The sequence below is a fragment of the Homo sapiens genome, chromosome 10 (genome assembly GCF_000001405.40).
Source record: "Homo sapiens chromosome 10, GRCh38.p14 Primary Assembly".
Classification (NCBI taxonomy): Eukaryota; Metazoa; Chordata; class Mammalia; order Primates; family Hominidae; genus Homo; species Homo sapiens.
Genome location: NC_000010.11, coordinates 70,170,870 through 70,194,027, shown reverse-complemented (window position 1 = coordinate 70,194,027; position 23,158 = coordinate 70,170,870). Strand labels below are relative to the sequence as shown.

Below are 23,158 nucleotides of genomic sequence, written 5' to 3'. Positions count from 1 at the left end.
CTCCGTTTCAAAAAAAAAAAAAAGAGGGTCACAAACACCTCACATTCTGAGGTGCTGGGGATTAGGACTTCAATATGAATTTTTGTGGGACACAACACGTAACTCTCAAAGAGAAGCTTTGGGTGTTTGGAAAGTTCTCTTTTTCATCATCCATGCTAGATAAAAGTCATCTGGGTACTAAAGCCAAAAGAAATCTTAATTCCTGGAACAGCCCTCTTAGGAACACTTCTTGAGATTTGAGTTTGCCAGGCACTGTTTTAGACACTGGGGATATAGTGTTGAGCAAGACAGATGAGGTCACCCTGACAGTAGGATGGGCTTGGTTATGCACAGCAATCCCCCCAAATCTCAATGGCTTAAGGAAACAAAAGTTGATTCCTCACTCACATAAAGTAGGCTCTGCTTGTGGGCAGCTGTTCCCCTATGATAGCTTAGCATCACGCCTCCGTGTTAACACGTGCTTTCTCATGTCGATCAGCCTCTCGGAGGAAGAAAGTGGTGGAGCCTTGCACTGGTGATTAGGTGCTTCTGCCCAGAAGTGACGCACATCACAGACATTTCACTGGCTAGAGCAAGCCGAATGACCATGCCTGACCTCAAGGTGGTAAGGAAGTCCAGTCTTACCATGGAGTAAAGGAAATAACTGTGAGAGTGCCAGGTATTTTGACACACCTCATTTAACACAGAGAGAAATAAGCTCTTCTTATTTATTTATTAGTTAGGGTTTTGCTCTGTTGCCCAGGCTGGAGTGCAGTGGTATAATCATAGCTCATTGCAGCCTTGAACTCCTGGGCTCAAGCGATCCTCCCACCTCAGCCTCCTGAATAGCTAGGACTACAGGCATGTGCCACCATGCCTGGCTAAATTTTAAATTGTTTTGTAGAGATGGGGTCTTACTATATTGCCCAGGCTGGTCTCAAACCTCAGACTCCTGGACTCAAGTGATCTTCCCAGCTCAGCCTCTCGAAGTGCTGGGTTTACAGGGTTTACAGATGTGAGCTACCACACCCAGCCTCTTTTTTTTTTTTTTTATAAGAAAAAGATGCAGAGAACCTAAGTAATTTAGCCAAAGTCACTTAAATTTATCCAAAGTCAGTAAGTGGCTGAAGCAGGACTTAGACCCAGGTCATCTGACCTTGAGACCAGGGATTTTCCTACTAGCTTTATGTTATTTGTCTGCTTTCACAATCATTATTAGTGGGTACTTAACATGTCTGGGCTTTAGTTTTCCCATCTGCGTCACAGGATTGGCAGGAACATATGTGAAGGAGCTTGCCCACTGTCCATGTCATAGTGGGCGTTCGGTGAAGCCTGGTTGTTTATAGTTGTGATCTCAGCAACTCTTAGTGTGATCAATGCATTTTTTTTTCCCAGGTAAGGAAACTTGATGCCTTGGCCTGGTTATTTAAAGGGTCTGAATGAGAACCCAAATCACTCACCACTGAGCCCAGGCCTACACGTGCTACTGCTCTGATGGCAATTATTTTCAATCTGATAAGCATATTTGCTCTACAAGGGCCTAACTTGTGCTTTTGCACATGACGTTCTTTACATTTAGAAAAAGCTGCTCCTACTGCTTCCTGGGAGTCTCAAGGCAGAAAGGAATTTACTTTTGCATTAATAAGAATGTTGTGCAAATTGCCATGGTGGAAAAGTTTTTATGAGTTATAAATTTGAATCAATTGCTATATAGTTCATTGCTACCTCTGTCGATCTTTGAGATCTTTCCCTGATTATTACAAAACCTTTAAATTAAGGAAATACTTGCCAGGAATAAGGTTAAGCAATGAGAATCACAAGGTTATGTGGCAATCTGAACTTGAAGTCTGAGAGCAATTTGGCAATATCTATCAAAAATTTAAATTCATACTTAATCTTTGACTCAGCAATTCTAGGAATTCATTCTGCAGAACAGTCAACCAAACACATAGTATACAGCAGCTTTGTTTGCAATAGCAAAATCTGGAAAAGTACTTAACTGCCCCACAGAGGAATGGCTGAATCTGTTACTCATACCCACAGCACTTAAAGAGTGAAATCACTGCATGGACTGATATGGAAAAGATGTTCAAAATATATAAGTGAGGAGAGAAAATTGTAGTACTCTATAGTGGTAAACTATGACTTGTGGGCCAAATCCAGCCTGCTGCCTGTTTTGTAAATAAAATTTTATTGGAACATAGCCAACATCTTTTCATTTGCAAATTGTCTGTGGCTGCCTTCCGTCTACAGTGGAGTGTTCAGTAGTTAGGACAGTGACCATATGGCCCCAAAAGCCAAAAGTATTTACTGTTTGTCTGTTTACAGAAAACATTTTCCAATCCCTGCTCTATCATATGATCCTATTTGTGTTTTTTACAAAGGGAGCATTTGGAGGAAAGACGTATATCAATAGATATGCTTCTATAAGCATAGACAATGAAAATCCAAATCCAAACCACAGTTAAGAAATCTAAAACCACAGTAACAATGATTACCTCTGGGGAGTGGAACTGTGGAGTAAGCAAGGAATAGATAAGGTCAGAGAGTTTCCTTCTTCTTTAAAAGCTTCTGTACTCTTGGAATTATTTTTCTAAAAGCATATGCAGTATGCCTTATTTTATTAAAAAAAAAAATCAATGAAGTAGGAGGAGAACACTGATGAATGGTGTTCAGCACACCCAGTGATATAAATGCTGCCAGCTCTCTAAGGCAGACTTTCTCCAAGTGGTCCCTGAACTACCAGAGCTATCTGTTTAAAAAAAAAAAAAAAGCCGAATGAATCAGAATTGGGAGGTGCTGGGCCCTAAAATCCACTTTTTTTTTTAGACAATCTCACTCTGTCGCCCAGGCTGGAGTGCAATGGCATGATATCAGCTCACTGCAACCTCCACCTCCCAGGTTCAAGTGATTCTCCCACCTCAGGCTCCCAAGTAGCTGAGCCTACATGCGCACGCCACCACGCCTGGCTAATTTTTTGTATTTTTAGTAGAGATGGGGTTTCACCATGTTGGCCAGGCTGGTCTTAAACTACTGACCTTAAGTGATCCTCCCGCCTCAGGCTCCCAAAGTTCTGGGATTACAGGCATGAGCCACTGCACCCAGCCTAAAATCCACTTTTCAACCAGGACTCTGATGTTTGAAACCGCTGCTCTTGTAATAAATGCCAGAGATCAGCAAAAGATTTCTCAGTGGGGTTTAATATAATCAGTGTGAGATCATCCAGCAAACATCTACTCACAGCAAAAGCAACAACAATAATAGCTCCCAATTATGAGCACTTCCTAAATGCAGGCCCTGTGCTATAGGCTTTACCCACTTGGACCTGTCGAATTCACTTAGCAACCCTGAGCTGAGTGTTACTATGATGAACTTGGCTCCGGGAAGGTTGCGTGGTGACCCGAGGTCTCTGAGCTCCTTATTTGGGTCTGTCACAAGGCTAGGGGCTGGAAATGCAGATCCTAGCCCCATGGCACTTGCACAGAGATGAGTTAGTCTTCTTCTTCTTTGTGTTGTTCACCCAGCAAGCCATGTGATGCTGGTTTAATAGCTGGATCACCTTCAGCACATGAGTTCCACACCTGCAAAAGAAGAGGTTGACCCAAGTACTCTGGAAGGCCTGTTCCAGCTCCAACATTCCTCTGGCTTAAAGCAGACTTGTCACCGTAGTGCGGATGTTCAAATGTGACATGTGGCTCCTTGTCACTGCCCCCACGCACCGGAGCCCTCTTCCTAGGGCCTGTCCTCCTGTCCTTCCCTGTTGAGACAGGCAGAGGTGCTGTGCCCCGTTCCTGCACATTCAAGTCTATTTCCTTGCTTCTCTGTCTCTCCTCATGAAAGTGGATCGTGACTTCAGAACTTATATCCCTGACTAGTCTGCCAGCTCCTCACAAGCAGGGGCCATGTCACAGTCATGTTTATGCCCCTGACGTCCCGCACTGCCCATAGCAGGAACTCTGTTAATAACCTTCTGATTGCTTCTCGAATGGCTTTTCAAACAGGACTGCCTTTTTGTGCTCCTCAAGGTGACAAAGTCAGCAGCCTAGTGACTGCCTGATTCCACAGAGAGGTTCTGCGTGGGCATTTCACGTGGCACTGTGCATGGCTTTCCACACTGGGATTTCTACACCCCACAGGGACACAGAGTGTGTGCCAAAGGAGACTGAAGCCACAGGGTAGACACCATGCAAAGCCCTGGGGCTTCCATTTTACTGGGGAGTGAATAATGACAAGGTTCTTCATAGGCTACAATTTTATTATTTAAAAAAATTAAAAAATATTTTTTTCAGATGGAGTCTCGCTCTGTTGCCCAGGCTGGAGTGCAGTGGCATGATCTCCACTCACTGCAACCTCTGCCTCCCAAGTTCAAGCAATTCTCCTGCCTCAGCCTCCCAAGTAGCTGGGACTACAGGTGCCTGCCACCATGCCTGGCTACCTTTTTGTATTTTTGGTAGAGATGGGGTTTCACTATGCTGGCCAGGCTGGTCTCCAACTCCTGACCTCAGGTGATCCACCTGCCTTGGCCTTCTAAAATGCTGGGATTACAGGCGTGAGCCACTGTGCCTGGCCATAGGCTACAATTTTAAATGCCAGTTTTCCATGAATTTTGAAGGAAAAATGTGCTATTTCAGGGCAAGTTGCTATTGGTGGCTTCCATGTCATGACTGTGCCACTAGACTCCTGGAGTTAAAGTTGAGAACACTCTGGGGAAGAACTCTGTGCTGGAAGTCCTAAGATCTACATGCTGGCCCTGGCTCCTTTGTGACATCAGGCAGGTCTTTTCACTTCTCTGGGACTCGGTTTCCTTATTCTGGATAACAAGGTAGTGGGCTCCCACCTTGTGCATATGTTTTAATGTGGAAGATGTCACATCCCCACGATTTTGATATAGTCCAGTGGGGCAGGATGCAGTGGGGGAAAAAAAACCCTCTCTACCACTGAACTGGACAAGGTGGGTGATTGGGAAACTGATATTAAAGTTCAAAGCCATATTTGCATGATTCTGAAATTGCAGACCACAGAGACTGGTCATGACCCTTCACCATGTCAGGATGTGTTCATAGCTTCTGTCAGAGGATGTGACAGGGGAAGGTGGGACCTCACAATGTCATGCTGTGTCCTGCTGTAGCTTTAACTCCACAGTTCCTGCCATGGGGATAGTGTGCAGGGTTAGAAAGTTAAGGTCATTATTACAGAAAGTAGAACAAGTCCTCGGGCACCCTCAGGGTCCTAGTCTAGTGCTCAGTCACAGGTGTGCAATCTCTTTTTTTTTTTTGAGATGGAGTCTCGCTCTGTCACCCAGGCTGGAGTGCAATGGTGCAATCTCGGCTCAGTGCAACTTCCACCTCCTGGTTTCAAGTGATTCTCCTGCCTCTACCTCCCAAGTAGCTGGGATTACAGGCATGTGCCACCATGCCCGGCTAATTTTTTGTATTTTTAGTAGAGATGGGGTTTCGCCATGTTGGCCAGGCTGGTCTCGAACTCCTGACTTCAGGTGATCTGCCCACCTTGGCCTCCCAAAGTGCTAGAATTACAGACTAGGACCCTGAGGGTGCCCGAGGACTTGTTCTACTTTCTGTAGCGTTTTTTTTTTTTTTTTTTTTTTTTTGAGTCAGTCTTGGTCTATCACCCAGGCTGGGGTGCAGTGGAGTGATCATGGCTCACTGTAGCCTCAGCCTCCCATGCTCAAGTGATCCTCCCACTTCAGCCTCCTGCATAGCTTGGACCACAGGCATGCACGACCATGCCTGGCTAATTCATTCATTTATTTTTTGTAGAGATGGGGTCTGTCTGTATTGCTCAGGGTGGTCTCAAACTCCTGGGCTCAAGGGATCTTCCTGCCTTGGCATTCCAAAGTGCTGGGATTACAGGCTTGAGCCACCATGCCTGGCTGCAATCTCTGCCAGTAGGAACCACAAAGAAATCTGCTGGAAGAATTTGAGGGGGAAAGTGTATGCAGAATTGGGCTCCCTTCTTTTTGAACAAATTCTCTTTCCTAAGGAACAGCAGAGGGAAGCAGACTCAATGTTTGGGGTGACTTTATAGAACATAACTATTGCAAATAGCAAGAATCAATTGTAGATAGAGACACATGTCTTTGTGTGTGTATATATATGTATATTTCTAAAACAGGCCAGGCACAGTGACTCACGCCTGTAATCCCAGCAATTGTGGGAGGCTGAGGCAGGCGGATCACTTGAGGTCAGGAGTTCTAGACTAACCTGACCAACATGGTGAAACCCCGTCTCTACTAAAAATACAAAAATGAGCCAGACGTGGTAGTATGCACCTGTAATCCCAGCTACTCGGGAGGCTGAGGTTGCAGTGAGCCGAGATCACACCACTGCATTCCAGCCTGGGCGACAGAGCAAGACTGTGTCTCAAATAAAATAAAAATATGGCACATATGTACCATGGAATATTATGCAGCCATAAAAAATGATGAGTTCATGTCCTTTGTAGGGACATGGATGAAGCTGGAAACCAGCATTCTCAGCAAACTATCGCAAGGACAAAAAACCAAACACCGCATGTTCTCACTCATAGGTGGGAATTGAACAGTGAGAACACATGGACACAGGAAGGGGAACATCACACACCGGGGCCTGTTGTGGGGTGGGGGGATGGGGAGAGGGATAGCATTAGGAGATATACCTAATGTTAAATAACGAGTTAGTGGGTGCAGCACACCAACATGGCACATGTATACATATGTAACAAACCTGCACGTTGTGCACATGTACCCTAAAACTTAAAGTATAATAAAAAAAAAAAAAAGAAAAAAAAATAGCCGGCCAGATGCGGTGGCTCACACCTGTAATCCCAGCACTTTGAGAGGCTGAGGCGGGCAGATCACGAGGTCAGGAGATCGAGACCATCCTGGCTAACACGGTGAAACCCCATCTCTACTAAAAATACAAAAAATTAGCCGGGCGTGGTGCCGGGCGCCTGTAGTCCCAGCTACTCGGGAGGCTGAGGCAGGAGAATGGCATGAACCCGGGAGGTGGAGCTTGCAGTGAGCCAAGATAGCGCCACTGCACTCCAGCCTGGGCGACAGAGTGAGACTCCGTCTCAAAATAAAATACAATAAAATAAAACAATAAAATAAAATTAAAAAATGGGGAAATTGATTTACACCTTTGTAACCTTTTATTTTAACTTAAATGTGAACTCTTCTTCATTTATAAAGCTATTCAATACTATACAAAATGACTCAATTAATTATGTAATGAAGATAACAGTTCATGTATTCAGTCTCTAGTGATTCACCTTTTGGTTTATTTCCAATTTCTTCTGATTTTAAATAATGCTGCAATAAGAGAACGTCATTATAAATAAACCTCAGAGAATATCTCTGGCTTTTTTCCTGAGGATAAATTTCTAGAAGTGGAAGTGCAGGGTCAACAAGTGTGCACATTGACAAAGATCTGGACATGTGTTAAATTGCCCTGCAGAAAGATCTTACCGGCTTGCCCGCCTGTTTATGAGAGTGCCCCAAATCTCAGGATTTTGAACATAATAAAAAATTTTTAAAACCTCTTGGCTTATTAAAGCCACTTTCCCCCTCCTCCTAACAATGCCTAATTCAGCCTTAAAAGAATACTGTAACACTGTGCTTCTCAAACTCCAGCAAACATCAGAATTACCTGGAGGGCTGTTAAAGCCAATTGCTAGGCCGCCTGCCCAGAGATTCTGATCTCCTAGATATGGAATGGCACCTGAGAATGTGCGTTTCTAATAAGATTTTGGGTGGGGCTGGGGTGTGGACTGCACGTGGCGAGCACAACGCCAAGAAGAGGCTTTCTTGGTTTCATGGTAAGACTAAACTTTTCCTGTGGACCTTGCATTTCTCTATATTGTGAATTTCTCTGAGTCATGTGTCTTACTCTGTACTCTGAATATTGCTTCCTAGTAGCCCCTGACTAGCAGCAGAATGTGGACCTGATGGGCTTTCTGCTACCTGGTGAGCATGTGTTGCAAGTTGACCCTATGCTGGCACTGGGCTAATAACAGCCGGGGTGGCTGAATACCACAATTACACTCTCTTTGCCTTCAAGGGGTTCACTAGTAAGGTGCTACTCGTAGTAAAAATCTATCATGGGCATGGTGGCTCATACCTGTAATCCCAGCACTTTGGGAGGCCAAGGTTGGGGGGGTCACTTGAGCCCACGAGTTTGAGACCAGCCTGGGCAAAATGATGAGACCTCATCTCTACAAAAAATGTAAAAATTAGCTGGGCGTGGTGGCACCTGCCTGTAGTCCCAGCTACTTGGGTGGCTGGCGTAGGAGGATTGCTTAAGCCCAGAAGAACAAAGCTGTAAAGAGCCATGATTGTGCCCTGCACTCCAACCTGGGCAACAGAACAAGACCCTGTCTCAAAAAACAAACAAACAAACAAACAACGGAACAAGACCCTGTCTCAAACAAACAAACAAACAAACAAACAGCACGTATTGTAGATGTGGAGAAACGGGAACCCTCATACACTGCTGGTGGTAATGTAAAATACTGCAACCACTTTGGAAAAGTTAGTCAGTTCCTCGAAAAGTTGAACATAGGTGGGGTACAGTGACTAACACCTGTAATCTCAGTAGTTTGGGAGACTGAGGCGGGAGGATCGCCTAAGTCTGGGAGTTTGAGGCCAGCCTGGGTAACATAGCGAGATACTATCTCTACAAAAAATGTTTAAAATTAGCCAGGCATGGGCCGGGCATGGTGGCTCACACCTGTAAACCCGGCACTTTGGGAGGCTGAGGCAGGCGGATCTGAGGTCAGGAGTTCGAAACCAGGCTGGCCAACATGGTGAAATCCCATCTCTTCTAAAAATACAAAAATTAGCTGGGTGTTGTGGTGGGCACCTGTAATCCCAGCTACCTGGGAGGCTGAGGCAGGAGAATTGCTTGAACCCAAGGAGGCAGAGGTTGCAGTGAGCAGAGATCACACCACTGCACTCCAGCCTGGGGAACAGAGCATGATTCCATCTCAAAAAAAATTAGCGAAGCATGGTGGTAGTCCTAGCTACTTGGGAGGCTGAAGCTGGAGTCTCACTTGAGCTTAGGAGTTCAACGTCACAGCGAGCTGTGATTGCACTACTGCACTCCAGCCTGGGTGACAGAAAGAGACCCTATCTCTTAAAAAGAAAAAACAAATATATATGTGTATATATATATATATTTTTAAAGTTAAACAGAGTTACCATATGACCCAGCAATTTCACTCCTAGATATATAGCCAGGAGAACATACATTCACAGAAAAACTTGTACACAAATATTCGTAGGAGTATTATCCATAATAGCCAAAAAGTGTAAACACCCCAAATATCCATCGGTTAATGAATGGATGAACAAAATTTGGTGTATACATACCACAGAATATTATTCAGTTATAAAAAGGAGTGAAGCATGGATAATGCCGCAGCACAGACAAGCCTTAAAAGCATTATGCTAAGTGAAAGAAGCCAGACGCAAAAGGACAAACAGTGTATGATTCTATTTATGTGAAAGTCTAGAATAGGCAAATCTATAGTGACAAAAAGTAGACTCGTGATTTCCAGAGGCTGGGTTGAGGTGAGAGAAGATGTAGAGTGACTGTTAACAGGTTTTCCTTCTGAAATGGTGAAAATATTCAATTTTTTTTTTTTTAGAGAAGGTTGGAATGCAGTGGTGTGATCATAGCTCACTGCAGCCTTGACATCCTAGTCTCAAGCCATCCTCCCGCCTCAGCCTTCTGAGTAGCTGGGACCACAGGCGTGAGCCACCACACCTGGCTAATTGTTTGATTTTTTTGTAGCGATGGGGTCTCACTATATATTGCCCAAGCTGGTCTTGAACTCTGGAGCTCAAGTGATCCTCCCGCCTCAGCCTCCCGAAGTGCTGCGATTATAGATGTGAGCCACTGTACCCGGCTGAAAATATTCTAAATTAATTGTGGTGATGGTTGCACAACTCTGTGAATATGTACTAAAAACCACTGAATTGTATACCTTAAATGGGTGAATTTTATGGTATATGAATTATATATCAACAAAGCCATTACACACCCCTCGTCATTAGGTATGAACATTAGACGTATTACAGTGATAGGAAGGAAGCAGGCAGGCAATGTGGGGAAGGACCACCTGGGAAAGGCTGACTATAGAGGCTTGCTTGACCTGGGTCTTGACAAATAAGATGGAGAAGTAGAAGGTGCTCCAGGCAGAGTGGTAGCCTGTTCACAGGTACAGAGGCAGGAAGGAGTCCAAAGGCTGAAGAGGATGTGGATGGTAATACTCAACATCTATTGAATGTTTGTGCTAGCAAACTAAAATTATATAATCTTATTTAATCTCCAAATAAATTATATATTAATTCATTGATTCACTCAGCCAATTATTAAACAAATTTCTTTTTCCTTCCTTCCTTCCTTCCTCCTTCTCCTCCTCCTCCTCCCCTCCTCCTCCTCCTTCTTCTTCTTTTCTCCTTCCTTCTTTCCTTCCTTCTCCCTTTCTCTCTTTTCTCCCTTTCTCTTTTCTCCTTTCCTTCTTTCCTTCTTTCCTTCCTTCCTTCCTTCCTTCTTCCCTCCCTCCCTCCTTCCTTCCTTCCTTCTTTCTCTCTGTCTCTGAGACAGGATCTCCTTCTGTCCCCTAGGCTACAGTGCAGTGGTGTGATCAGGGCTCACTGAAGCGTAAACCTCTGAGGCTTAAGCCATCCTCCAGCCTCAGCTTCCCAAGTAGCTGGGAGTATGGGCATGTGCCACCATTCGCAGCTAATTTTATTTTTTGTAGAGACAAGGTCTCACTGTGTTGCCCAGGCTAGTCTTGACCTCCTGGGCTCAAGTGATCCTCCTGCCTTGGCCACCCAAAACGCTGGAATTACAGGTGTAAACCACCGCACCAGGTCTGAACAAATTTTATTAGGCACCCACCACATACCAGGAACTGTGTTAACGACTGGAGGCACTATAATGAAGTAGACACTATTATTATCCATTTTATACAAAGAAAGGTTAAGTAAGTTATTGAAATTTACAGAGCTAGTTAGTGGAAAAACTGAGACTCAAATGCAGGTTGTCTGATTCCAGAACCCATTTTTCAAAAAAAGTTATAATCTTTTACCTCCCCACAGATAGTTGTAATTTAACATAAATGTATACACACAATCACATACTCCTCTTTCTCTATTATTCTCTCTCCCTTTCAATCTTTTTCTTTTTTCTTGCCTATGCTCCTCTGCCTCTATCCTTCCCCCTTGACAGTTGCTGTCCCCAACAAAGGTTCTTTGTGGGGGAGAGGTGAGACTGAAGTAGTTTTATTAATTTATGTTTAAATAAAAATTTAATTTTAAAACATTTTTAGATTTACAGAAAAATTGTGAAGACAGTAGTACAGAAAGTTGCTGTGTGCCCCACCCCATTTCCCTGTTATTCACATCTCACGTTACTATGGTACACTTGTTACAATTAATGAATCAATATTGATACATTTAAAATATGTATATTTTTAATTTTTAAAATTTTTATTATTTTTCTTGAGACAAGGTCTTGTTCTGTTGCCCAGGCTGGAGTGCAATGGTGCGATCTTGGTTCACTGCAGCCTCAACCTCTCAGGCTCAAGCAGCCCTCCCACCTCAGCCTCCCAAATAGCTGGGACCACAGGTGCAAGCCATCACACTGGCTTTATTTTGTAGAGATAGAGTCTCACTATGTTGCCCAAGCTGATCGTGAACTCTTGGGCTCAAGTGATCTTCCTGTCTTGGTGTCCCAAAGTGTTAGGATTACAGGTGTGAGCACCACTCCTAGCCTGAGGTATGTCAACATTATTAATTAAGGCCCATACTTTTTTCAGATTTCCTTAAGTTTTTTTTTTTTTTTTCTTTTTTTTTCTGAGATCGAGTTTTGCTCTTGTTGCCCAGGCTGGAGTGCAATGGCGCGGTCTTGGCTCACCGCAACCTCCGCCTCCCAGGTTCGATTGATTCTCCTGTCTCAGCCTCCCGAGTAGCTGGGATTATAGGCATGTGCCACCACATCTGGCTAATTTTGTATTTTTTTAGTAGAGATGGGGTTTCTCCATGTTAGTCAGGCTGGTCTCGAACTCCTGACCTCAGGTGATCCACCCGCCTTGGTCTCCCAAAGTGCTGGAATTACAGGCGTGAGCCACTGCACCTGACCCAGATTTCCTTAGTTTTTTACCTAATGTCTTTTAATGTGTTGAGATACCATACTCTATTTATTTATTTGAGATGGAGTCTTGCTGTGTCACCCAGGCTGTAGTGCAATGGCACAATCTTTGGCTCACTGCAACCTCCGCCTCCTGGGTTCAAGTGATTATTTTGCCTCAGCCTCCCAAGTAGCTGGGATTATAGGTGTATGCCACCACACCTGGCTAATTTTGTATTTTTAGTAGAGATGGAGTTTCACCATGTTGGTCAGGTTGGTCTCGAACTCCTGACCTCAGGTGATCTGCCCGCCTCAGCCTCCCAAACTGCTGGGATTACAGGCATGAGCTACTGTGCCAGGCTGAGATACCATACTATATTTAGTTGTCCTATCTCCTATTTTCTTCTTAGTGGTTACTATTTCTTAGACTTTCCTTTTTTTTTTTTTTGAGACAGAGTTTCACTCTTGTTGCCCAGGCTAGAGTGTGCAATGGCACAATTTTGGCTCACTGCAACCTCCGCTCCTGGGTTCAAGCGATTCTCCTGCCTCAGCCTCCCAAGTAGCTGGGATTACAGTCATGTGCCACCATGCCTGGCTAATTTTTTGTATTTAGTAGAGAGGGGGTTTCACTATGTTGGCCGGGCTGGTCTTGAAATCCTGACCTCAGGCGATCCACCCGCCTTGGTCTCCCAAAGTGCTGGGATTACAGGCGTGAGCCAGCGCACCTGGCCGCTTTCCTCATTTTTGATGACTCTATCTTTGAGGAGTATGGTCAGGTATTTTATAGAACATCTCTCAGTTGAGATTTGTCTGATATTTTTCTCATGATTAGACTGGGGATATGTGTTGGGAGGAGGAAGATCATACGAATAAAGTGATATTCTCATCATATCATATGAAGGGCATGTACTATCAACATGGCATATCACTGGAGGTGTTAAACTTCATCACCTGGCTGAGATTGTGATTGTCATGTTTCTCTGCTGTAATTATATTCTCCCCCTCATCCCCTTTCCACACTGTTCTCTTTAGAAGGATGTCACTGTGTGTAGCCCAGACATGATGGGGAGTTACACTCCACCTCCTTGAGGGTAGACTATTTACCTTAATTATTTGGAATTCTTCTCCATGGAAGATATGTCTGTTCTTCTTCATTTATCTATTTATTGTTTCTTTGTTTTTGAGACAGGGTCTTGCTTTGTCACCTAGGCTGGAGTGCAGTGCCCTGATTATAGCTAACTGCAGCCTGGACCTCTTGGGCTCAAGCAATCCTCTCAACTCAGCCTCCAGACTAGCTAGGACTACAGGTTCACACCATCATGCCTGGCTAATTTTTTAAGTTTTTTGTAGTCATGGGATCTTGCTGTGTTGCCCAGGCTTTCTCAAACTCCTGGCCTCAAGCAGTCCTCCTACCTTGGACTCCCAAAATGCTGGGATTACACATGTGAGCCAGCATGCCCAGCTATCTATTCAGTCAATTATTTATTTATGTCCATATGGACTCATGGATATCTATCTTATACTTTAGGTTCTAATCCAAAGCTATTTTAAAATTTATTTTGTTGCTTAAATTATGCCAGCTTTGGCCGCTGGGAGCTCTTTCAGTTGCTTGTCTCATTGATCCCCTCATTCTGGGTGTTTTTTGGATATGGGGATACTTCTATACTTTTTGGCACAAGGTGTTCCAGGCTCATCTTGTATATTCCCTGCCCCAGCCCTAGAATCAGTCATTTTCCCAAGAAGCCCTGGTTCCTTTCCTTGGAGAATGGTATTAGAAACCAAGATCTGGGCACTAGGGTGCTCACTGCTACTGAGTTGTTGTTGTTTCTATGCCTTCTCAGCTGACATAGCAAGGAAATATATATGTGTATATTGACATATATATAAACATATCTATAAATACATTTCTGTCTATATCACACTAAGCATGAATTCATACTGATATCTCCAACTCCAATCCATTACTACATGGATCATTGTAGCCTCTTCTCTCCTCGCTTATCTATAACCTCACACTCCAACAGTGAGTTTTCACCTGCTCCCATCATCCACCATCCATTTGCTTAATTGGTAAATTCCAGTATACATAGGGGTTTCCAAATTTTATAATGGTTTCCAAATTGTTGGCCTTTACAAACCCTGTGGGAAACAACCTGATCAACTGGAATATAGTGTTTATGTGTATTCCTTTTGCCTTTAGTCTTACAGACTTCAGTCATTTCCAAAGTGACTTAGTTCAGCACCTTTTCTGCCTACCTGCTTCAGTAAGGTTGTTCATACATTTATAATATAGTTTTTTTTTCTCAGATTCTGCATCTTTTCTAGGATCCCCTGATCTCTAAAGGATTTTTTAAAATTTGCATATGTTAAAGTTCAATCTTTGTCCTATAATGGACTATGGCTTTTGACAAATGCATCGTGTCATGTATTCACTATTGTTTTATTTATGTATTTATTTAGACAGAGTCCTGCTCTGTCATCAGGCTGGAGTGCAGTGACGCAATCTTGGCTCACCGCAACCTCTGCCTCCTGGGTTCAAGCGATTCTCCTGCCTCAGACTCCCAAGTAGCTGGGACTATAGGCGTGTGCCACCATGCCCAGCTGATTTTTGTATTTTAGTAGAGATGCGGTTTCACCATGTTGGCCAGGACGGTCTCTATCTTTTGACCTCAGGATCCACCTGCCTCGGCCTCCCAAAGTGCTGGGATTACAGGCATGAGCCACCGTGCCCAGCCTGTTTATTTTTTAAATTACACAAATACTAGTATGTTAAAAAATTTCAGCCAGGTATAGTGGCTCATGCTTGTAATCCCAGCAGTTATGGAGGCCGAGATGGGAGGATCCCCTGAGCCCAGGAGTTCGAGACCATCCTGTGCAATATAGTGAGAACTCACCTCTACAAAAGATTAAAATACATTTTTAAAAATTTCAAAAATACAGATAAAAAAATTCTATCTTGATTGCTGTTAATCCCACTCCCTTCTTATAAACACTGTTATCAGTTTGATAAAAATCTCTCTAGATTTTTCTCTATGTCTTTATACACATATTTGAACATATGTAAAAGTATAATTTTGTGTGTGTGTTTTTTGAAGAGGCATAAGATTATACTTTGTATACATTTTGAAATCTCATGTTATTACTTTGTCAGTATACCTAATTCTTTTAAACTGGTATAAAGATAATAGGGATGTACTGTTGAACACGAATGCTTAATCCACTCCATGTGATATGTTCCAGAACCCTAGTGTATTCTAGAAAGCTGGGACATTGGGTACAAGTTGGAGAACAGAAGAAGGGCAGGCAAGAAAAGAAGCAGGAGCCTCATGCTTAACAAAGGCTCTGTGCTCCCCTGCTAAGGAGATCCTGGACTTTAAAGAGGCCCTGAAGAGGCATCAAGAGTTTTTAAAATTAGAAAGGAATATGGTTTTATTTCTGTAATGGGTACGGAAGAATTTTAAGGAATGTTAGTTATGTGGAATGCTGTTTGATAACATATCCACTTTTTACCCTTAAACTCTTCTTATCAGAAAATATTCAAGTGTATTTCTTGAGTGTATGACTGCTCTATAAATACTGGAGTAGCCATGGTATGACACGCCATTTGGACACCTTCATCTTCTCAGCTATTTATTGGGTGGCACCATAGGAGCAGTAAAGGAGACTACAAAGCAGTGTAGTTATTTATTTATTTATTTATGTATTTATTTTGAGATGGGGTCTGGCTCTGTCGCCCAGGCTGGAGTTCAGTGGAGTGATCCCAGCTCACTGCAACCTCCACCTCCCGGGCTCAAGCCATCCTCCTACCTTAGCTTCCCGAGTAGCTGGTACTGCAAGGTGCACACCACCACACCCAGCTAATTTTTGTGTTTTTTGTAAAGATTGGGTTTTGTCATGTCGCCCAGGCTAGTCTTGAACTTCTGAGCTCAAGTGAGCTGCCTGCCTCAACCTCCCAAAGTGCTGGGATTACAGACGTGAGCCACTGCACCTGGCCCAGTGTGGTGATTCTTAAAGCAGGGTCCAAAAGCCTCTGAGGGGTAAGAAAGTCTTCCAGTTGGGCCATTAAAACTAGGGGGCCAGCTAGGTGAGATGGCTTTACCTATAATTTCAACACTTTGGGAGGCCAAGGCTGGAGGATACCTTGAGCCTAGGAGTATGAGACTAGCCTGGGCAACATAGCAAGACCCTATCTCTTAAAAAAACATTGAGCCAGGGCATGATGGCATGTACCTGTGGTCTCAGCTGCTTGCGAGACTGAGGTGAGAGGATCACTTGAACCTGGGACATCAAGGTAGTGAGCTGTGTTTGTGCCACTGCACCAGCCTGGGTGACAGAGTGAGACCCTGTCACAAAATAAATACATAATATACACATAAAAAAATTAAAAATAAATTAAAAACTAGGAGATGATCTCCAAGTGCTGCTAGACTGTAAGCTCTATGAGTTTAGGGACCCCATCTCTTTTGTTCCCCATTACCTATTCCCAGTGCCTAGCATAGGTCCTCACATATAACATGTGTTTCATAAATATTGAATGAATTAATTAATCTAAAAATGCACAACTTTTTTTGTAAAGGTAGGGTCCCACTATGTTGCCCAGGCTGGTCTCAAAATCCTGGCTTCAAGTGATCCTCTCACTTCAGTCTCCTAAAATGCTGGGATTACAGGTGTGAGCCCCCGTGTCTGGCCTAAAACTGCAAATTCTTTCACTCCTTCCTAGAAGCAAATAGTCTCTTCTATTTCTTCCTTGCAAATAGTTATGTACCAATATATCACCATAATTCAGTATTCACAAAGGAAAACGTGAACATTACTGGAGTTTACTCAAATTCAGTATTCCACTAAATCTAGCTAGCTGTTACATGATAATTGGCAAGTTTATAAAGCTTCCTCATTCAGGTTTTTTTTCTCTTCTCCTTTTTTGCATGGAGGTAGTTGGAATTTCTGCAGTTTGAGGAAAGATAGTTTTATTATTGTTGCATAATAAAACTCAGTGCTTCTTGAATTGGCTGGAGACCTCAACTAATGCTTTTTAATTAGAAATTATGATTAAATTAGTGTCACTATTATCAATGTAGTACATTGTAGGAGTTACGTTCACCCTGTAAGGTGAACAGATGCATCAACTGTACTTTTCACCCGTAATGTTTCTGATGACTAGATTTTTTTAACCATCTTAACCAATTTTAAGTGTCCGATGACTAGACTTTTAATATATGTTTGCATCATGGTACAAATATGAATCATCCATAACACTAGCACCAAAAGAGATCACAGTCATCTCCCCCAACTCTGCCTGTACAGTGGAATTCCATTACTATTACAGGTTATTTTTCTCCTGGACACCAGGCAGGTGTAGCATAGGTTAGCCTCTATCATCTCTATCCTGCTTTAAAAAGACTAGATGGGGCTGGGCGCCGTGGCTCATGCCTGTAATCCCAGCACTTTGGGAGCCCGATCATGAGGTCAACAGATCGACACCATCCTGGCCAACATGGTGAAACCCCGTCTCTATTAAAAAATTACAAAAAAATTAGCTGGGTGTAGTGGCACATGCCTGTAGTCCCAGCTACTTGGGAGGCTGAGCAGAAGAATCACTTGAACCAAGGAGGCGGAGGTTGCAGTGAGCTGCTATCACGCCGCTGCACTCCAGCCTGGGGACAGATCAAGACTCCATCTAAAAAAAAAAAAAAAAAAAAAAGAAGACTAGCTAGGCTGGGTGCAGTGGCTCACGCCTGTAATCCAAGCGCTTTGGGAGGCCGAGGGGGGCAGATCACAAAGTCAAGAGATAGAGACCATTCTGGCCAACGTAGTGAAATCCCATCTCTACTAAAATTACAAAAATTAGCTGGGCGTGGTGGCTGAAGCCTGGGCATGGTGGCCACCGTGACCAGCCATGGCCCGAACCATCTTAAGATTCCATTTGGATGCCCCATTTTAGTGGAGGTGGGTGAGAATTCCAGAAAGCAGTGCTGTTTCTGGGGAGTGAGGAAATTAAAGACCACTTTTCTGGTCTTTGGGTCTGATGTGAGAGCTGTGGAGGCAGGACACAGCCGGCATCCTGGCTTTCTCAGGCTGAGATTTTCCAAGATCAGGAAAGGATGGAATTTCTCAAGATGCCCAGTACTTGTCAAATTGAAGATATGCCAAAAGAGGGTCATGAAAGTCATGGAATACTTTAAATGTTTTAAATGTCTACATTTAAATATGTTTAAATGTCTATGCTTACCAAACCAATGCATTTAACACACATTAAAAAGCAGAGCAGAGGGCTGGGAGCAGTGTGTCATGACTGTAATTCCAGCACTTTGGGAGGCCGAGGCGGGAGGATCACTTGAGGTCAAGAGCTTGAGACCAGCCTGGGCAATATAGAGAGAACTTATCTGTACAAAATATTTTTTAAAAATCAGCTAGGCATTCTAGCACACGTCTGTAGTCCTAGCTACCTGAAAGGCTGAAGCAGCAGGATCCCTTGCCCAGGAGTTTGAGGCTGCAGTGAGCTACGATCATGCCATTGCACTCCAGCCTAAGGCACAGAGTGAGAAAAAAAAAAACAAAAACAAAAACCAGAGCTAGCTGGGCATAGTGGCTCACGCCCATAATCTCAACATTTGGGGAGGCCCAGGCAAGACGATCATTTGAGCCCCAGGAGTTTGAGTCCAGCCTGGGAAACATAGCAAGAATTTGCCTCTAAAAAATAAGAAAGATTTTTTATCAAGCAGGATAAAAAAAGGAAAAATAAAGAGTAATATGAAGAACAAGTGACAGCAACTCCTGGACAAACCAAAGCTGGTATTGGCTGCATCCTTGCAGGCAGTGCGTATTCCCCACCTCCACTGCATCAAGCCCAAGAAAAAGGCTGAAGGGGATGCTAAGGAAGTTAAAGCCAAGGTGAAGGACAAACCACGGAGAAGATCTGCAAAGTTATCACTAAAACTGCTCCTCCACACCAGAGCCAAAGCCTAAAAAGCCTCTGCAAAGAAGGGAGAAAGAGGTACTCAAAGAGAAAAGGGGGAAAGCAGATGCTGGCAAGGGTGGGAATAACCCTGTCTATCTAATGCTGAGAATATGTAAAGGAGTAAGCATACAGTCGGGGGAAGAATTACATAAGATGCCTCCCCTCAAACCCTCCATTGGTTCTTCAGGTCACCAAAAATAAAAGCTAAAGTCCTCACCTACAAGGCTTTCAAGATTTGCCTCCTGTTAAGAGACAATTCTCCATGAAGCTCTTTGATTTTTGCACTTCTTTCAAACAGAGGTGCCAGCTGCCTTTGTTTGGACTATCTTTTGAAGGACATTTATATAATGAACAGCCTTGGAAGACAGTGTCCCTCTGGTGCAGGGGACAGGTCTGTATACTGCCCAGTGTCATACCATTTCCCACTGGGTCAGAGTTCAGGCAGGTCCGCTTGCAGCCATTATGAAAGATTTGGGTTCCCTAAGTTCTGGGTTCCTCAGCTGTGTTGCACACCATCGAATGGGCAGTGTCCATTCAGACTGCTCTGTGTCACCCCATTGTCCTCAGAAAGGAGGAGGGAGGAAGGGGCAAGTGGAAGTAACACAAACAGGAAGTTCATGCTGCTCGCTATGCCGGAAGTAATAACATAGTTTGTCTCTGATCCAGGAGTCCTGTGACTGCCAGCATCTGAGACTGTGTCAGGCTAACCTGTTAACCTGCAAGTTAGGTAGAACCCCAGAACCTCCACAGTTCTGACCACAAACACCTCACCCCATTTCCTACCACTCCTTCTGTTGCTCACCTTGCCTGGTCACACTGGCCTCCCAGATGTTCCTGGAAACTGCCAGGCACACTCCTGCCTTAGGGCCTCTGCTGTCAGCCTGGAACAGTCTACCCTGACAGCCATGTAATGTCCTTCATGTTCTTATCCAAATAGCACCTGGGTGGGGCCTTTCTTGACTTCTGTATTTGATTTAGTTAATTAATTAATTAATTTAGAGACAAGGTCTCGCTCTGTTGCCTAGGCTGGAGTGCAATCATGGCTCACTGTACCCTCAACCTCCTGGGCTCAAGCGACCCTCCTGCCTCGGTCTCCCAGTGTTGGGATTACAGGCATAAGCCACCATGCCCAGTCTGACTTCTCTATCTGAAACAGCCTTCCCACCAATAAACTGGTGAACTTTTGCCAATCTGACAGGTGAAAATGGTATCTCAGTAAGTTTCAAATTTATCTTTTATTTTTTAAAATCTATTTCTATTTCAGTATAGATATAACTATACAGAGATACATAGACAAATAAATGGATTTATATATTTTCTATATCTATTATTCTATAATATCTATATTTATATTTTCTATAGTATCTATATTTCTATTACTATTTTATTATGCTTGAGTCATTTTTGGGCCAGGCGCAGTGGCTCATGCCTGTAATCCCAGCACTTTGGGAGGCCTAGGCGGGCGGATCACTGGAGGTTAGGAGTTTGAGACCAGCCTGGCCAACAAGGTGAGACCTCATCTCTACTAAAAATACAAAGACCATGTCTACTAAAAATACAAAGATTAGCCGGGCTCGGTGGCTCATGCCTGTAATCCCAACTATGCAGGAGGCTGAGGCAGGAGAATCGCTTGAATCCTGGAGGCAGAGGTTGCAGTGAGCCGAGACCGCCACTGTACTCCAGCCTGGGTGACAGAGTGAGACTAGGTCTCAGAAAAAAAAAAAAAAAAGAAAAGTCATTTTTATTTCCTTTCCTATGAATTATCTGTTCTGAACTGTTGCCTATTTTCCTATTGTGTTGTTAGTCTTTTTCATACTTCTTACTTGCCTATGATGTGATTATTTTTCTCAACTTGTCATTTGTCTGAGTTTGCTTATGGTGTCATGATTGTTGTTATGCCATATAAGTTTTTAATTTTTATGTAGTTAAATTTGTCAATCTTTTCTTTTATGGCATCTACATTTTCTTTTCTTTCTTTTTTTTTTTTTTTTTTGAGATGGAGTCTCAGTCTGTTGCCCGGGGTTGGAGTGCAGTGGTGTGATCTCGGCTCACTGCAACCTCTGCCGCAGGGGTTCAAGCGATTCGCCTGCCTCAGCCTCCCAAGTAGCTGGGATTACAGGCGCCTGCCACTACGCCTGGCTAATTTTTTGTATTTGTAGTAGAGATGGGGTTTTACCATGTTGGCCAGGCTGGTCTCGAACTCCTGACCTTGTGATTCGCCAGTCTCAGCCTCCCAAAGCGCTGGGATTACAGGCATGAGTCACCACGCCCGGTCTAGATTTTCAATCATACCCAGAAAGGTCTTCTCATTGCAAAATTATAAGGAATCCATGCTTTCTTCTGTTTTTCTAGTACCTTTATAGTGTCATTTCAAAATACACACATCTTTTCATCACTTGAAACTTGTTTAGAGTAATAAACTTTTGGAGATTCAACCTGTAGGTTTTTTTGACTACCCAATTGTCTCAACCCCTTTTATTATTTATTAATTTATTTAACAACACATAACAGAATCATTTATTGAAAACAGTACTCTGGAAAAACTATGTGCACAACAATGCCTGTTTCACCCATTTTACAGTGGGTACATGGTGGTCTGGGGCATTCGTCAACTTGCTCAAGCCTTTAGGTAAGTAGAGTTTGCGGCTTTTCTGAGAATCTGCCTGCATGTTCCCTCCTTCCCCAGCCTCCCAAGCCATCCTGTGGTTCAGACACCTCCACCTCGTGCAGCCAGGCTCTCAACAAAGCCAGTAATCCAATGTGTTGGCTTGCACTGGGCTTGCATCTGTGTCTCCAGGATGCACAAGGGGTTCCAAGCCCCATGGACACATTGTCCCTGGTTTAGCTAAAGCTGGTGAGAAGCCTCAGAAGTGGCCTGACACCTTTCTGTGACAGGACAGGGTTCAAATTCAACATCTAAGACCCCAGGATGAGCGGAGGGTAGAGGGTGGTGAGCTTGCCCACTCAGCTCCCTGAGTATTGCTGGAGTCCCAGGTGCTACTTTAGTTTTATTTCTGCATGTACTTTAGTCATTTCTGTACTTTGCTCTGTTCCATTGTGTTTTTTGTGTGTGTGTGTTTGTGCATGTGCACGCACACCAGTTTTAATAACTTAGGCTCTATAATATGTTTTAATATCCAACAGGGTTAGTTCCCACCTCCTTGTTCTTCATTTTGAAAGCCTGTTTCTGGACTAGTTTTGTTTGGTTTTCTATACGAATTTTAGGAACAAATAGGGTAATTAAAAAAAAAGAACGAAACCACACACGACCTATTAATCCTATTAGTACTTTTATTGGGATTATGTTAAATTTAAATTTTACTAAAGGAGAATTGAGATCTTCATGAACCCACAGACGTCATTCATCTTTCCATTAGACTGTTTTATTTGTAAAATGAGAGTAATAATAGTACCAATCTCGTGGGACTGTCCTGAGAATTAAATGAGAAAATGCATGCGAAATATACTGGGGTGAACACGTTGCTTTGCCACTTAGCTGTGTGAACTTGGGCATGGTAGGTTATTCTGAACATTGCTCTCTCATTTGTCAATAAGGATAATACTAGCATCTGGAGTCACAGGACTCCAATGACGGTGAAATTAGACAAAGCGTGCAAAGTACCCAGTGCTCTGCCTGGAACATAAGTGCACAATAAATATTAGCTGTTTTTCTGTTTTTCTAAAACATAGGCCACCCCAGGGCAAGGAAGTGCGACTCAAAGCAAAAGCAGCTGGGCGCGGTGGCTCACGCCTCTCATCCCAGCATTTTGGAAGGCCGAGGCCAGCGGATCACTTGAGGTCAGAAGTTCGAGACCAGCCTGGCCAACACGGTGAAACCTGTCTCTGTAAAAATACAAAAAAATTAGCCAGGTGTGGTGACATGCGCCTGTAGTTCCAGCTACTCGGGAGGCCGAGGTATGAGAATCGCTTGAATCCGGGAGGTGGAGGTTGCAGTGAGCCGAGATCGCGCCACTGCACTCCAGCCTGGGCGACAAAGTGAGACTCCGCCTCAAAAAAAAAAAAAAAAAAAAAAAAAGCAAGGAAGAAAAAAAGCAAAAGCTTGGAGGGATCCACCTCAAGTGGAGGG

General features: G+C 43.6%; 1 annotated feature.

Moving 5' to 3' along the window:
• Nucleotides 23,020-23,099: an enhancer, noted in NCBI's record as "active region_3498". NCBI's record gives its function as "activates an Ori minimal core promoter by ATAC-STARR-seq in GM12878 lymphoblastoid cells {active_cell/tissue: GM12878}" and the evidence as "EXISTENCE:reporter gene assay evidence [ECO:0000049][PMID:35858748]".